Source organism: Homo sapiens, chromosome 4 (genome assembly GCF_000001405.40).
Source record: "Homo sapiens chromosome 4, GRCh38.p14 Primary Assembly".
Classification (NCBI taxonomy): domain Eukaryota; kingdom Metazoa; phylum Chordata; class Mammalia; order Primates; family Hominidae; genus Homo; species Homo sapiens.
The window spans coordinates 164992008-165008973 of NC_000004.12; the positions used below are offsets into that span (position 1 = coordinate 164992008).

General features: G+C 44.3%; 4 annotated features.

Moving 5' to 3' along the window:
- Window positions 3346-4215: an enhancer, noted in NCBI's record as "NANOG-H3K27ac hESC enhancer chr4:165916505-165917374 (GRCh37/hg19 assembly coordinates)". NCBI's record gives its function as "activates a minimal SCP1, AML or CMV promoter by ChIP-STARR-seq in naive H9 embryonic stem cells {active_cell/tissue: H9 hESC(naive)}" and the evidence as "EXISTENCE:reporter gene assay evidence [ECO:0000049][PMID:30033119]".
- Window positions 4231-5013: an enhancer, noted in NCBI's record as "H3K27ac hESC enhancer chr4:165917390-165918172 (GRCh37/hg19 assembly coordinates)". NCBI's record gives its function as "activates a minimal SCP1, AML or CMV promoter by ChIP-STARR-seq in naive H9 embryonic stem cells {active_cell/tissue: H9 hESC(naive)}" and the evidence as "EXISTENCE:reporter gene assay evidence [ECO:0000049][PMID:30033119]".
- Window positions 5014-5794: an enhancer, noted in NCBI's record as "H3K27ac hESC enhancer chr4:165918173-165918953 (GRCh37/hg19 assembly coordinates)". NCBI's record gives its function as "activates a minimal SCP1, AML or CMV promoter by ChIP-STARR-seq in naive H9 embryonic stem cells {active_cell/tissue: H9 hESC(naive)}" and the evidence as "EXISTENCE:reporter gene assay evidence [ECO:0000049][PMID:30033119]".
- Window positions 9328-10082: an enhancer, noted in NCBI's record as "NANOG-H3K27ac hESC enhancer chr4:165922487-165923241 (GRCh37/hg19 assembly coordinates)". NCBI's record gives its function as "activates a minimal SCP1, AML or CMV promoter by ChIP-STARR-seq in naive H9 embryonic stem cells {active_cell/tissue: H9 hESC(naive)}" and the evidence as "EXISTENCE:reporter gene assay evidence [ECO:0000049][PMID:30033119]".

The window sequence follows — 16966 nt, forward strand, 5'->3', positions numbered from 1 at the left end:
TCGCCCCTGTAATCCCAGCACTTTGGGAGGCCGAGGAGAGCAGATCACCTGAGTTCGGGAGTTTGAAACTAGCCTGACCATTATGGAGAAATCTCATCTTTACTAAAAATACAAAATTAGCTGGGCGTGTTGGCACATGCCTGTAATCCCAGCTACTCAGGAGGCTGAGGCAGGAGAATCGTTTGAACCCGGGAGGCGGAGGTTGAGGTGAGCCGAGATCACGCCATTGTACTCCAGCCTGGGCACCAAGAGTGAAACTCCATCTCAAAAGAAAAAAAAAATTAGCCGGGCATGGTGGCGAGCACCTGTAATTCCATCTATTCGGGTGGCTGAGGTAGGAGAATCTCTTGAACCCAGGGGTCGGAGGTTACAGTAAGCCAAGATTGTGCCATTGCACTCTAGCCTCGGCAACAAGAGGGAATTCCATTTCAAAAACAAAAAAGCAAACAAAAAAAGAATTATGGCAGGGCACGGTGTCTCACACCTGTAATCCCAGCAGTTTGGGAAGCTGAGGTAAGTGAATCACTTGAGGTCAGCCTGGCCAACATAGTGAAACCCAGTCTCTAGAAAAAACATAAGAATTAGCCGGGCATGGTAGTGGTGCGCCTGTATTCCCAGCTACTCAGGAGGCTGAGGCAGAAGAATCGCTTGAACCCAGGAGGTGGAGCTTGCAGTGAGCCGAGATCTCACCACTGCACTCCAGCCTTGGCAACAGAGTGAGACTCCACCTCAAAAAAAAAAAAAAAAAAAATTAATCTAACCCAAATATTGTAGTTTACATTTTTCTCTTTTGAGACAGAGCCTCACTCTGTCACCCAGGCTGGAGTGCAGTGGTATGATCTCAGTGCACTGCAACCTCTGCCTCCCAGATTCAAGCAATACTCCAGCCTTAGCCTCCTAACTAGCTTGGATTAAAGGAGTGCACCACCATACTTGGATAATTTTTGTATTTTTAGTAGAGACAAGGTTTCACCATGTTTGCCAGGCTGGTCTCCAACTCCCAACCTCAAGTGATCTTCCCACCTCATCCTCCCAAAGTGTTGGGATTACAGGCATGAGCCACTGAGGCCAGCCCAGCATCACTTTCTAATTCCAGAACATTTTCTTTTTTTTTTTTTTTGAGAAGGAGTCTCACTCTGTCGCCCAGGCTGGAGTGCAGTGGCTTGATCTCGGCTCACTGCAAGCTCCACCTCCCGGGTTCACGCCATTCTCCTGCCTCAGCCTCCCGAGTAGCTGGGACTACAGGCGCCTGCCACCATGCCCAGCTAATTTTTTGTATTTTTAGTAGAGACGGGGTTTCTTTTTTTCTTTTTTTTTTTTTTTGAGACAGAGTTTCGCTCTTGTTGCCCAGGCTGGAGTGCAATGGCGCCATCTCGGCTCACTGCAACCTGCGCCTCCTGGGTTCAAGGGATTCTCCTGCCTCAGCCTCCCAAGTAGCTGGGATTACAGGCATGCGCCACCATGCCCGGCTAATATTGTACTTTTAGTAGAGACAGGGTTTCTCCATGTTGGTCAGGCTGGTCTCGAACTCCCGACGTCAGGTGATCCGCCCGCCCCAGCCTCCCAAAGTGCTGGGATTACAGGCGTGAGCCACCATGCCCGGCCAGAGATGGGGTTTCACTGTGTTAACCAGGATGGTCTCCATCTCCTGGCCTCGTGATCTGCCCGCCTCAGCCTCCCAAAGTGCTGGGATTACAGGCTTGAGCCACCGCGCCCGGCAATTCCAGAACATTTTCATGAGCCCAAAGGGAATTCTTTGCCTAGTGAGAGGTCTCCTTCCTCTGGGCCTTGAAACCAAGCATCCATCCCCTTTCTGACTGTATAAACTATTTTGGTTAACTAACATAAATGAAACCATGCAATGGTAGCCTTTTGTATCTGGTTTCTTTCAGTAAGCATATTGTCTGCAATGTTCATCTAATGTTGAAGCATGGGTCAGTATTTTGTTCCTTTTTTGGGTGACTAATGTTGCACAGTATTGTTATACTACTTTGTTTATTCATTCATAGATTAATGAAAATTTGGATTTGTTTCCATTATTTGGCTATTATGAATAATGCTATTATACTATGAACATTTGTGCACAAGTTTTTTTGTTGACCTATGTTTTCAATTTTTAAAAATACATATCAAGGAGTAAAATTGCTGAATTTAATGCAACCTGATTATGTTTGAAGAACTGCCAAAATACCACAGCAGCTATATAATTGGACATTTGGTGGGACCCTTTTGAAATTAAAATTTAAATATACCTTCAACTAGTTTCTTAGTTCTGTTTGTTTGCTTTATAATATTTGGAAGTCAAGTATTGCATGAGAAAGTCTAGCAGATTTACAACGTTAACCAAAGATGTAATCTTTTTTATTTATTTATTTTTTTTGAGACAGTCTCGCTCTGTTGCCCAGGCTGGAGTGCAGTGGCGCGATCTCGGCTCACTGCAACCTCTGCCTCCTGGGTTCACGCCATTCTCCTGCCTCAGCCTCCGGAGTAACCAGGACTACAGGCGCCCGCCACCACGCCCAGCTAATTTTTTGTATTTTTAGTACAGACGGGGTTTCACTGTGTTAGCCAGGATGGTCTCGATCTCCTGACCTCGTGATCCACCCGCCTTGGCCTCCCAAAGTGCTGGGATTACAGGCGTGAGCCACCGCGCCTGGCCCGAAGATGTAATCTTAAATAAGAATTGTGGAGTCAGTGGCTAATAGGATGAAAGATGTCAAAAGTGATTTGATGGTGATATAAAAGGGTACAGAGGATGCTATGAGAGGATGGAAAGGTGCTAGCGGAAGCTACGACTTTGGATGAATTACCCATTCTAGGACTCACTTTCCTCTTCTTTGTAGAGAATGCAATCGTCACTACCTGTCAGTTCTGATACACAGATTCCATTGAAAGTTTGGGTGAAGCACTCAATCCAGTGCATGTATCATGATGAATAACTCAGTAAATGCTAGCTGTTCTCTGGGAACAAACCGGAGGGCCAAGTACATTGCGAGAAACATTAATCTAGAAGACTGGATACCCTACAGATTGTTCAGAACACATCTATTTCATTTATAGTATTTCCCAGAGAGAATTTTTCTCAAATTGGGTAATCCATTAAAAAATAGCCCGAAGGCTGGGCGCGGTGGCTCACACTTGTAATACCAGCACTTTGACAGGCCGAGGTAGGCGGATCACCTGAGGTCAGGAGTTCAAGACCAGCCTGGCCAACATGGTGAAACTTCGTCTCTACTAAAAATACAAAAATTGGCCTGGCCTGGTGGGCACCTGTAATCTCAGCTACTGGAGTGGCTGAGGTAGGAGAATTGCTTGAACCCAGGAGGAAGAGGTTGCAGTGAGCCGAGATTGCGCCACTGCACTCCAGCCTGGGTGACAGAGCAAGATTCCGTCTAAAAAAAAAAAAAAAAAAAAAAAAAAGAGCCTGAAGTATATATAGTGATATAGGACAAAAATAAATGATAAGTAGGCAGTTGCAGCATATGCAAGTAGCTCCCATTTGGAGATAAACAAAGGGGACCATTCTATACATAACCTATATTCATATAAATGTTTTATTTTTGTATATGCATAGACCATTTGGGAATACTTACAAAAAGCCATTAACAGCAATTATCCTTTAGAAGGAAAATGAGTGACAGCAAGTTACTTTGTAACTGTTGTGCCAGGTAGGGCTTTCTTGTGGGGAAAAGAAAGAGATCAGATTGTTACTGTGTCTGTGTAGAAAGAAGTAGACATAGGAGACTCCATTTTGTTCTGTACTAAGAGAAACTCTTCTGCCTTGAGATGCTGTTAATCTGTAACCTTACCCCCAACCCCTTGCTCTCTGAAACATGTGCTGTGTCAACTCAGGGTTAAATGGATCAAGGGCGGTGCAAGATGTGCTTTGTTAAACAGCTGCTTGAGGGCAGCATGCTCCTTAAGAGTCATCACCACTCCCTACTCTCAAGTACCCAGGGACACAAAACACTGCGGAAGGCCGCAGGGACCTCTGCCTAGGAAAGCCAGGTATTGTCCAAGGTTTCTCCCCATGAGATAGTCTGAAATATGGCCTCTGGGAAGGGAAAGACCTGACCATCCCCCAGTCCGACACCCGTAAAGGGTCTGTGCTGAGGAGGATTAGTAAAAGAGGAAGGAATGCCTCTTTGCAGTTGAGACAAGAGGAAGGCATCTGTCTCCTGCCCATCCCTGGGCAATGGAATGTCTCGGTATAAAACCCGATTGTATGTTCCATCTACTGAGATAGGGGGAAACTGCCTTAGGGCTGGAGGTGGGACATGCGGGCAGCAATACTACTCTTTAAGGCATTGAGATGTTTATGTGTATACATATCTAAAGCACAGCACTTAATTCTTTACCTTGTTCAAGATGCAGAGACCTTTGTTCATGTGTTTATCTGCTGACCTTCTCTCCACTATTATCCTATGACCCTGCCACATCACCCTCTCCGAGAAACACCCAAGAATGATCAATAAATACTAACGGAACTCAGAGGCCGAGGTGGGATCCTCTATATGCTGAATGCTGGTCCCCTGGGCCCCCTTATTTCTTTCTCTATACTTTGTCTATGTGTCTTTTTCTTTTTCAAGTCTCTCATTCCACCTAACGAGAAACACCCACAGGTGTGGAGGGGCAACCTACCCCTTCATCTGGTGCCCAAGGCTTTTCTCTAGGGTGAAGGTACGCTCGAGTGTGGTCATTGAGGACAAGTCGACGAAGAGATCCTGAGTACGTCTACAGTCAGCCTTACGGTAAGCTTGTGCACTCGGAAGAAGCCAGGGTAACAATGGGGCAAACTAAAAGTAAATATGCCTCTTATCCCAGCTTTATTAAAATTCTTTTAAAAAGAGGGGGAGTTAGAGTATCTACAAAAAATCTAATCAAGCTATTTCAAACAATAGAACAATTTTGCCCATGGTTTCCAGAACAAGGAACTTTAGATCTAAAAGACTGGAAAAAAATTGGCAAAGAACTAAAACGAGCAGGTAGGGAGGGTAAAATCATCCCACTTACATTATGGAATGATTGGGCCATTATTAAAGCATTTTTAGAACCATTTCAAACAGAAGAAGATAGCATTTCAGTTTCTGATGCCCCTGGAAGTGGTGTAATAGATTGTAAAGAAGAGACAGGGAGAAAATCCCAGAAAAAAATGGAAAGTTTACATTGTGCGAATATGTAGCAGAGCCGGTAATGGCTCAGTCAATGCAAAATGTTGACTATAAACAATTACAGGAGGTGATATATCCTGAAACGTTAAAATTAGAAGAAAAAGGTCCAGAATTAGTGAGGCCATCAGAGTCCAAACCACGAGAGCCAAGTCCTTTTCTAGCAGGTCAGATGCCCATAACATTACAACCTCAAACGCAGGTTAGAGAAAATAAGACCCAACCACCAGTAGCTTATCAATACTGGCCACTGGCTGAACTTCAGTATCAGCCACCCCCAGAAAGTCAGTATGGACATCCAGGAATGCTGCCAGCACTACAGAATAGGGTGCCACACCCTCAGCCGCCCACTTTGAGACTTAATCCTATGGCACCACCTAGTAGACAGGGTAGTGCATTACATAAAATTATTGTCAAGAAAATTATAGTCAAGAAAGCAAGGAGATACTGAGGTGTGGCAATTCCCAGTAATGTTGGAACTGATGCCACCTGGAGAAGGGGCCCAAGAGGGAGAGCCTCCCACAGTTGAGGCCAGATACAAGTCTTTTTCTATAAAAATGCTAAAAGATAGGAAAGACGGAGTCAAACAGTATGGACCCAACTCCCCTTACATGAGGACATTATTAGATTCCATTGCTCATGGACATAGACTCATTCCTTATGATTGGGAGATTCTGGCAAAATCGTCTTTCTCACCCTCTCAATTTGTACAATTTAAGACTTGGTGGATTGATAGGACACAAGAACAGGTCCGAAGAAATAGGGCTGCCAATCCTCCAGTTAACATAGATGCAGATCAACTATTAGGAACAGGTCACAATTGGAGCACTGTTAATCAACAAGCAGTAATGCAAAATGAGGCCATTGAGCAAGTTAGAGCTATTTGCCTTAGAGACTGGGAAAAATTCCAAGACCCAGGAACCGCCTACCCCTCATTTAATACAATAAGACAAGGCTCTAAAGAGCCCTACCCTGATTTGTGGCAAGGCTCCAAGATGCTGCTCAAAAGTCAATTGCCGATGAAAATGCCCAAAAAGTCATAGTGGAATTGATGGCATACGAAAACGCCAATCCTGAGTGTCAATCAGCCATTAAGCCATTAAAAGGAAAGTTTCCCGCCGAATCAGATGTAATCTCAGACTATGTAAAAGTCTGTCATGGAATTGGAGGAGCTATGCATAAAGCTATGCTTATGGCTCAAGCAATAGCGGGAGTTGCTTTAGGAGGGCAAGTTAGAACATTTGGAGGGAAATGTTATAATTGTGGTCAAATTGGCCATTTAAAAAAGAATTGCCCAGTCTCAAATAAACAGAATATAACTATTCAAGCTACTACAACAACAGGTAAAGAGCCACCTGACTTATGTCCAAGATGTAAAAAAGGAAAACACTGGGCTAGTCAATGTCGTTCTAAATTTGATAGAAATGGGCACGAGCAAAGGGGCCAGCCTCAGGCCCTGCAACAAACTGGGGCATTCCCAATTCAGCCCTTTGTTCCTCAGGGTTTTCAGGGACAACAACACCCACTGTCCCAAGCACCTCAGGAAATAAGCCAGTTACCACAATACAACAATTGTCCCCTGCCACAAGCAGCAGTGCAGCAGTAGATTTATGTACTATGCAAGCAGTTTGTCTGTTTCCAGGGTAGCCCCCACAAAAAATCCCCACAGGGGTATATGGCCCACTGCCTGAGGGGACTATAGGACTAATCTTAGGAAGATCAAGTCTAAATCTAAAGGGCATTCAAATTCATACTGGTATGGTTGATTCAGACTATAAAGGCAAAATTCAATTGGTTATTAGCTCTTCAATTCCTTGGAGTGCTAGTCCAGGAGACAGGAATGCTCATTTATTACTCCTGCCTTATGTTAAGGTTGGAAATAGTGAGATAAAAAGAACAGCAGGGTTTGGAAACACAGATCTGACAGGAAAGGCTGCATATTGGGCAAGTCGGGTCTCAGAGAACAGACCTGTGCGTAAGGCCATTATTCAAGGAAAACAGTTTGAAGGGTTAGTAAACACTGGAGCAGATGTCTCCATCATTGCTTTAAATCAGTGGCCAAAAAATTGGCCTAAACAAAAGGCTGTTACAGGACTTGTCAGCATAGGCACAGCCTCAGAAGTGTATCACAGTACTATGATTTTACATTGTTCAGGGCCAGATAATCAAGAAAGTACTTCACATGTTAAAAAAACATTTATTATCTTGTCTCGCTGTAATGGGAGTTCCAGAAAAAATCAAAACTGACAATGGCCGGGTGTGGTGGCTCACGCCTGTAATCCCAGCACTTTGGGAGGCTGAGGCAGGCAGATCACCTGAGGTCAGGAGTTCGAGACCAGCCTCAACGTGGAGAAACCCCGTCTCTACTAAAAATACAAAATTAGACAGGCATGGTGGTGCATGCCTGTAATCCTAGCTACTCAGGAGGCTGAGGCAGGAGAATTGCTTGAACCTGGGAGGTGGAGGTTGCAGTGAGCCAAGCTCGCGCCATTGCACTCCAGCCTGGGCAACAAGAGCGAAACTCCATCTCAAAAAAAAAAAAAAAAAAAAAAAAAAAAACTGACAATGGACCAGGATATTGTAGTAAAGCTTTCCAAAAATTCTTAAATCAGTGGAAAATTTCACATACAACAAGAATTCTCTATAATTCCCAAGGACAGCCCATAGTTGAAAGAACTAATAGAACACTCAAAACTCAATTAGTTAAACAAAAAGAAGGGGGAGACAGTAAGGAATGTACCACTCCTCAGATGCAACTTAATCTAGCACTCTATACTTTAAATTTTTTAAACATTTATAGAAATCAGACTACTACTTCTGCAGGACAACATCTTACTGGTAAAAAGAACAGCCCACATGAAGAAAAACTGATTTGGTGGAAAGATAATAAACATAAGACATGGGAAATAGGGAAGGTGGTGATGTGGGGGAGAGGTTTTGCTTGTATTTCACCAGGAGAAAATCAGCTTCCTGTTTGGATACCCACTAGACATTTGAAGTTCTACAATGAACCCATCAGAGATGCAAAGAAAATCGCCTCCACGGAGATGGAAACACCAGCCACATGGATGGATAATCCTATTGAAGTATATGTTAATGATAGAGTATGGGTACCTGGCCCCACAGATGATTGTTGCCCTGCCAAACCTGAGGAAGAAGGGATGATGATAAATATTTCCACTGGGTATCGTTATTCTCCTATATTTGCCTAGGGAGAGCACCAGGATGTTTAATGCCTGCAGTCCAAAGTTGGTTGGTAGAAGTACCTACTGTCAGTCCCGTCAGTAGATTCACTTAACACATGGTAAGCGGGATGCCACTCAGGTAAATTATTTACAAGACTTTTCTTATCAAAGATCATTAAAATTTAGACCTAAAGGGAAACCTTGCCGCAAGGAAATTCCCAAAGGATCAAAAGACACAGAAGTTTTAGTTTGGGAAGAATGTGTGGCCAATAGTGCCGTGATATTACAAAACAATGAATTCGGAACTATTATAGATTGGGCACCTCGAGGTCAATTCTACCACAATTGCACAGGACAAACTCAGTCGTGTCCAAGTGCACAAGTTGAGTCCAGCTGTTGACAGCGACTTAACAGAAAGTTTAGACAAACATAAGCATAAAAAATAACAGTCTTTCTACCCTTGGGAATGGGGAGAAGAAGGAATCTCTACCCCAAGACCAAAAATAATAAGTCCTGTTTCTGGTCCTGAACATCCAGAATTAGGGAGGCTTACTGTGGCCTCATACCTCATAGAATTTGGTCTGGAAATCAAACTTTAGAAACGAGATTGTAAGCCATTTTATACTATCGACCTAAATTCCAGTCTAACAGTTCCTTTACAAAGTTGTGTAAAGCCCCCTTATATGCTAGTTGTAGGAAATATAGTTATTAAACCAGACTCAAACTATAACCTCTGAAAATTGCAGATTGTTTACTTGCATTGATTTGACTTTTAATTGGCAGCACCATATTCTGCTGATGAGAGCAAGAGAAGGCGTGTGGATCCCTGTGTCCATGGACCTACCGTGAGAGGCCTCACCATCCGTCCATATTTTGACTGAAGTATTAAAATGTGTTTTTAAATAGATCTAAAATATTCACTTTTACTTTAATTACAGTGATTATGGGATTAATTGCAGTCACAGCTACGGCTGCTGTGGCAGGAGTTGCATTGCACTCTTCTGTTCAGTCAGTAAACTTTGTTCATGATTGGCAAAAAATTCTACAAGATTGTGGAATTCACAATCTGGTATTGATCAAAAATTGGCAAATCAAATTAATGATCTTAGACAAACTGTCATTTGGATGGGAGACAGGCTCATGAGCTTAGAACATCGTTTCCAGTTACAATGTGACTGGAATATGTCAGAGTTTTGTATTACACCCCAAATTTATAATGAGTCTGAGCATCACTGGGACATGGTTAGAGCATCACTGGGACATGGTTAGACGCCATCTACAGGGGAGAGAAAATAATCTCACTTTAGACATTTCCAAATTAAAAGAACAAATTTTCGAAACATCAAAAGCCTATTTAAATTTGGTGCCAGGAACTGAGGCAATCCCAGGAGTTGCTGATGGCCTCGCAAATCCTAACCCTGTCACTTGGGTTAAGACCATCGGATGTACTACGATTATAAATTTCATATTAATCCTTGTGCCTGTTTTGTCTTGTTAGTCTGCAGGTGTACCCAACAGCTCCGAAGAGACAGCGACCATCGAGAACGGGCCATGATGATGATGGCGGTTTTGTTGAAAAGAGAAGGGGGAAATGTGGGGAAAAGAAAGAGATCAGATTGTTACTGTGTCTGTGTAGAAAGAAGTAGACATAGGAGACTCCATTTTGTTCTGTACTAAGAAAAATTCTTCTGCCTTGAGATGCTGTTAATCTGTAACCTTACCCCCAACCCTGTGCTCTCTGAAACACATGCTGTGTCAACTCAGGGTTAAATGGATTAAGGGCGGTGCAAGATGTGCTTTGTTAAACATGCTTGAAGGCAGCATGCTCCTTAGGAGTCATCACCACTCCCTAATCTCAAGTACCCAGGGACACAAAACACTGCAGAAGGCCGCAGGGACCTCTGCCTAGGAAAACCAGGTATTGTCCAAGGTTTCTCCCCATGTGATAGTCTGAAATATGGCCTCGTGGGAAGGGAAAGACCTGACCGTCCCCCAGCCCGACACCCATAAAGGGTCTGTGCTGAGGAGGATTAGTATAAGAGGAAGGAATGCCTCTTTGCAGTTGGGACAAGAGGAAGGCATCTGTCTCCTGCCCATCCCTGGGCAATGGAATGTCTCGGTATAAAACCCGATTGTATGTTCCATCTACTGAGATAGGGGAAAACTGCCTTAGGGCTGGAGGTGGGACATGCAGGCAGCAATACTGCTCTGTAAGGCATTGAGATGTTTATGTGTATGCATATCTAAAGCACAGCACTTAATTCTTTACCTTGTCTATGATGCAGAGACCTTTGTTCACGTGTTTATCTGCTGACCTCACCACTATTATCCTATGACCCTGCCACATCCCCCTCTCCGAGAAACACCCAATAATGATCAATAAATACTAAGGGAACTCAGAGGCCGAGGTGGGATCCTCTATTTGCTGAATGCTGGTCCCCTGGGCCCCCTTATTTCTTTCTCTATACTTTGTCTATGTGTCTTTTTCTTTTTCAAGTCTCTCATTCCACCTAACGGGAAACACCCACAGGTGTGGAGGGGCAACCCACCCCTTCATTTTATGTATACATTTTTGTTCCATAATGAATTTCTGGATGAGTAATTGTTGGGTTAAAGACAATATATTTTCTTTTCTTTTTTTTCTTTTAAAGCAATATATTTTGAATATTTTGACACATTGTTATATTGCCCTACAATATAGCTAATAATTTTATCTCACTTAGATATATAAAGAGATTATATGTGTCTCTAAATAAAAACTAAGAAATAATTCGGAAACATACATTAAAAAGTTCACACTGGGCAGGGTGATGCAATTGAATTTTAAGGAACGGTATTGCCTGAGGCAGGGATGAGATAGAGAAAAAACTGATCATATGTACATACCTGTATCATCAGAGTTTTAAAATACTCATTTAAAATGTGCAATCTGTAGGTAAACCACCAATTAAGATGTTAGGTTATCAAACTAACTTCCCATACAATATGTGATATTATATCCATGGTGGCTATTCACAGAAAAGTTACTCACACTGGTTTTGTTTATTGGCATGGTTTATTTTTACTAGGTTGATTGTTTTGGCGACTTTGGCAGTTTACCATATGTTAACATTTTATATATGAAAAGAAAATGTATGGTGCACTGCCATATATTTTATAGACATACAGATATATAGATATTAGATGATAGATAAATAGACAGATAGATTCACTGTGTTACCCAGGCTGGTCTTGAACTCCTGGGCTCAAGCATGATCCTCCTGCCTTGGCCTCTCAAAGTGCTGGGATTACAGGTACGGGTCACTTTGCTTGGCCCATTTTTATTATTAGCTTATGCAACTTTAATTTCTGGACTTCGAGTTTTCCCTTTAATCTGCATTCTTTACTCCCATTCTGTTTTATCCAGGTAGTCACACTAAGGTACTTGACAAATTATGAAATATGTATGTAGCCTTGCAAAATATAAAGTATTACTCTCTGTCATGATGGGTGCTTGATGGCTCCACTTTTTACCACTTTATGTGGCTTATCAATATGTCATCTGTGAATAATTTAAGTACACGTTAAGAATTGTTTTTAAATTCCTGAAAGACAGGACTGTTGTTTTCATTTATAGTACTAAACATCTAGTATATTAGAAGTGATTGACCAGAAATTATTTGTTTTTGCTTGTCTACAATATGCCAGTATTGTCCAATAACAATATATTGCATTTTAGTTGTTTGATGTTTTTTGTTTGGTGTAGCAGCAGAACACTGCCTAAAACAACTCTTAAATTCCTGCTGGTTTCTATTACACAGAACGCTTTGTTTACATGAAGAAAATGATCTACTTTATATACAAAACTATTTTAAACCACCTTCTATTAATTCAAGATATTAAGCTTGTGACCAGTTCTTTGGAACAAGAACATAAAAACCATGGTTCCTTTCTTCACGAAAATAGAAGGCAGACTAGTAAAACCAAATATTGTTTTTCTCAGCCTCCTTGTGGATGGAGGATCAGAAGGTGCCCTAGTCTTCTCCAGAAAATAGTGTTCTGAGCTGTCACACATTTTTAGGTTTATATTGTAGGCTATTGGGTGGGTAGTGATGGGGGCAAGTCAAGTGGAACTGCAAGAATTTACAAGTTTCTGGAGAAGAGGGTACAGTATGTAACCTCAGCCTCCTGCTCACAGAAAAGAGGTGCTCCCAGAAAGCCCCATCACAGAGCTCTTCATTGCCCTTGAGTGAGAGGCCGAAAATATTCTGGCTGCACTTTTGAGAGCTGAGTAGGATTTGTGTAGGTTGCAATGTCACTCTCCATCTCTTAACATGGGCTACCTGTGAAGGTAGTGATGGGGACAAGTGTGGACCTACAAAAGATCACAGGTGCCGGGCGCGGTGGCTCACGCCTGTAATCCCAACACTTTGGGAGGCCGAGGTGGGCGGATCACGAGGTCAGGAGATCCAGACCATCCTGGCTAACACAGTGAAACCCCGTCCCTACTAAAAATACAAAAAATTAGCCGGGCGAGGTGGCGGGCGCCTGTAGTCCCAGCTACTCAGGAGGCTGAGGCAGGAGAATGGCGTGAACCCCGGGGGGCGGAGCCTGCAGTGAGCCGAGATCGTGCCACTGCACTCCAGCCTGGGCGACAGGGAGACTCCGTCTCAAAAAAAAAAAAAAAAAAAGATCACAGGTTCTGGAAGAAGTAGAAGAGGTAGAGTGCAGGACGTGACCTCAGGCTCCTGCTCACAGAAACAATGTGCTCCGAGAGAGCCCCACCACAGAGTTCTTCATTGCGCCTGAACTGGAGGCAGGACACAGTGTGACTGTGTTTTTGGGAACTAAGTAGGATTTGAAGAGGTTGCAATCTCACTCTCCATCCCTTAACATCTCTAGCCATCAATTTTCTCATCTCTGAATTGGAACCATAACTGCTGTGAGGGTGCGTGCAATGAAGCAGCATGTGTAGTTCTGTGCAGAGCACACATCTTATTCATCTCATGCGCTGAATGAGCCTCCTTCAACACCCTCGACTTCCAGAACAGGTTTTCTCCCTGCCTCTCACTCTAGGTTCACTATGGGAAGAACCGTCACTGTGTGGATAAAGCCCCTAAGATAGTTCATGTCTGGCCACCTTCCATCCACCACTCATTGAGATTTGTGACCTTAAGGACTTCTCCTTGCCAGGAATCTCTAACATGAACAGGCTGGGCATGGGCTGGGGAGTGTTGAGTAGAAGAGCCGGACCTCAGAATGCAGCATCGGGCAAAGTAAGTACGTGTTTTATTGAGGGCCTAACTCTTGACTCTGATCACATAGGGATTTACAGACAGGACAGATGGGCCTGGCTTTCTGGCTACAGCAACACCTATAAAGACACCAGATTCAGCAATGTGGGCTTCCATCCGACATGCTCAGCCATGTGAGTCTCTTAGGAAGCTGCAGATCTGCAAACTTCTGCCTGTAGAATGCTCCATATCTCAGCCAAAATATATTCAAAAAAATCTTCTTACACTCCAGTGAGAAGGTTTATTTTATAAAAATGAAATTTACTTTTCAAAGATTTTCCAAACCATTTTCACTGCTCAGTGAAAGTTGAAAGCAGAGAGATTTGTGAAGCCCCATACAAAAATTGAGCCATTTACAGATTTGTCAAGCTCAAGATGTTTACTCAGTCTGAGTAATCTGCCCACCTGATATTTAAATATTTATATTATATAAGATTAATCTTTTTTATACATTTGTAGCATAAAATTAAATATTCGTTTTTACAAGGTTGTGTGTGAATGATTGCTAAATCATTGCTAAAAAGCAACCATTTAAGAATCCAAATTTGTTTAATAAAATTCTGCCAGAAATAAACTGTAAGATGTCACAGATTTCAGAGTGCAGAGAATGCTTTCCAGAGAAAGTAACATTAGGTTGGGATATAAAGAAAGAGTGGGTGGAAATAAGGGAGTAAACAATGTTTGGGGCATGAGAATTCTCATGGACAAAAGCTCCCCATGCAAAGGTCCCGTGGCAGGAGAGTTCCCTGTGCTGAGTGTGGAAATAGAGGTGAAGGGTGAGATGGAGATTAGGGGGTACCAGACTGTTAGGTCCTTTGGGGACATGGTAAAGAGCTTGATTCTTTCCAAGAGCTGTAAAAGCTGCTCCAGTGTATGAAGGAGCATGATTAAAATTGCAATTTGAAACCATCACGTGCAGGGAGTGGAAAGGCGTGAGGTAGAGTGAAGTGGAGCAAATCCCTGAAGGGGCCATGCAGTGCAGGTGGGTGGAGACGGTCATGTGGAAAATTGACTCAAATGGGACCTGGGATCTGCCTCAGGATGGGGGTGGGGCGGAGCATGGGAAAGAGTGCAGGTCATTCTAATGGCGGCCGCACCTACCAGGTCAGGCCAGGCCTCCGCATCGGGCCCTGCTGCCTCCTGGCCCTGGGACTTCCTGCTTCATTGCGGGTGTTCTGGGGTCTCTTTTTCTCCCAAGGCTTCCTTGTGCCCAGGTCATTTCTTGGAGACAGTGATTCCCGGAACGGAAACCGTCAACAGCTGCATAACTCCTTGGCTTGGGGCTTTTCAGTTACTCTTTCTAGATACAGGAGGGCCCTGAGTTGGTCTCTCTATATCTCCCCCTGCTAGTTGGGGAATTCTGCAGCCACTGGAGTAGGTTCAGCTTGTTGTGAGGGGCAGGGAGCAGGAGGTGGACTCAGTCCAGGCCTTCAGAACTGAAGGCCAAAGTTCATTCCTCGTCCTGCAGCGCTAGAAATTGCATCAGGGAGACAGGGTGAAACTGCTGTGCTCCAAACCTGCACACAGCTGGGTGGCACTTGGAGAGGCCCCACTGAGCCTTTCAGAGGTCCTGGGTCCGAATCTGCAAAGATGGCATTAAAGTGCTTTGAGCGAATTAAGGAGGATTAACAAGGCGTAAATTAGATCATGTATATTCGCGCCACCCGCATCTACCTGCCGAAATTTAATCACAACAGATTCCCACTCACCCATCAGGAGCTCATTTACAGCCTGGCCCTGCCCAGGCTCCTCAGGGGCAGGGCCGCAAGTCCTCGGTGGACGGGGCCCTAAGTGCGACCTTGCTGCTGGTGCATATAAATCTGGGTCTCAGCGCTGACCTCAGTCTGGTGCAAGAGTGTCCTCGGTCGACGCTCTTGGAGGTCCGTGTCCAAGACCATTCTGAATCATCTGCTCCAGGTAAGCCGGGAGTAGGACTCAGTACCTGGGGAAGATGGAGCCTAGAAAGACCCCTGACTCCCTGGGTGCCCGCTCTGCCTAACGAGAGCCGGCAACTTGTGAAGGAATCCAAACTGGCATCTGGCTATTTTAAAATAGATGCCGTTTATTATGGTTCCCAAGGATTGACACTACAGAATCGGGACCGGGAGAAGATGGAGGTCGCAGTTACTGGGACTGCAGATATCCAAACGGTCACATTTACTACAGTCGCAGGGTTAGTAGGAGAGCTCATGGCACTCTCCCCGCTGCTCTATAACACTGTGTCAGGGAGGTGAGTTCTCATGGAGAGCAGGGGATGTTTGGGTCAGGAGGAAGTGACAGATGAGCTGAGAGCTGGCGACAGCACAGGAGATCTGCTTGTACAAAGCTGCTGGGAGAACGTTAGGGAAGGTGGGAGCTGCAGAGAGCGGGGGCCAGGAGACGTAGGTGGGGGCACACTGTCCTCAGATGGGAGCAGCAGATCTGTGGGAGAGGGGCATGAGCAGAGCCTTGTGCCTGGACAGTGGATCAGAGGCAGCCCCAGTGGGGGCAGGTGGGGTGGGCAGTCAGGGGCAGGTGTAGGCATCCCGAGGGACAAGTTGGTAGTTTGTGAAGGGTGGTATTGGGGATGACCGAAGGTGGGCTCCATGTCAGTGGGATCCTGAGTGTGGACATCCCGGGGTATGATATTAGACACCACTGAGTACCTTTCTACTGCAAGGAACATCTTCTCTCCTGAATTAATCCTTCCTGGCTAGTCAAGTATCACATAGCCACAAACAAAGGAGCTAGGATTTTGGCCCAGGAAGCCTAGCTCAGCCTCTGCTCTCACCCCACCAGGCTTCCTCTCCTTCCTGCTTCACTGCCCTGAGTCTGCAATCATTTTAACCTTGCCAATCCGATGAGGCACAAAGAAAAATCTCTGCTGTTCTCCACTCTGATGTGTCCGGGTTATGTAAAATGATCTGCTTTATTTTTCCAATTGTGTACTGGTTTCTAGGATTTACATTTTTTTATTTTTAATGAATCTTCCTCTGTTGCCCAGGCTGAAGTGCAGTGGCATGATCTCCACTCAGTGCAACCTCTGCCTTCCCACCACACCTGGCTAATTTATTTATTTATTTATTTTTTATTTATTTATTTATTTATTTTTTTGAGACGGAGTCTTGCTCTGTCACACAGGCTGGAGTGCAGTGGCGCGATCTCGGCTCACTGCAACCTCCACTTCCCAGGTCCAAGTGATTCTCCTGCCTCAGCCTCCCGAGCAGTTGGGATTACAGGCACCCACCACCATGCCCTGCTAATTGTTGTATTTTGAGTGGAGACGGGGTTTCACCATGTTTGCCATGCTGGTCTTGACCTCCTGACCTGAGGTGATCCACCCGCCTCAGCCTCTGAAAGT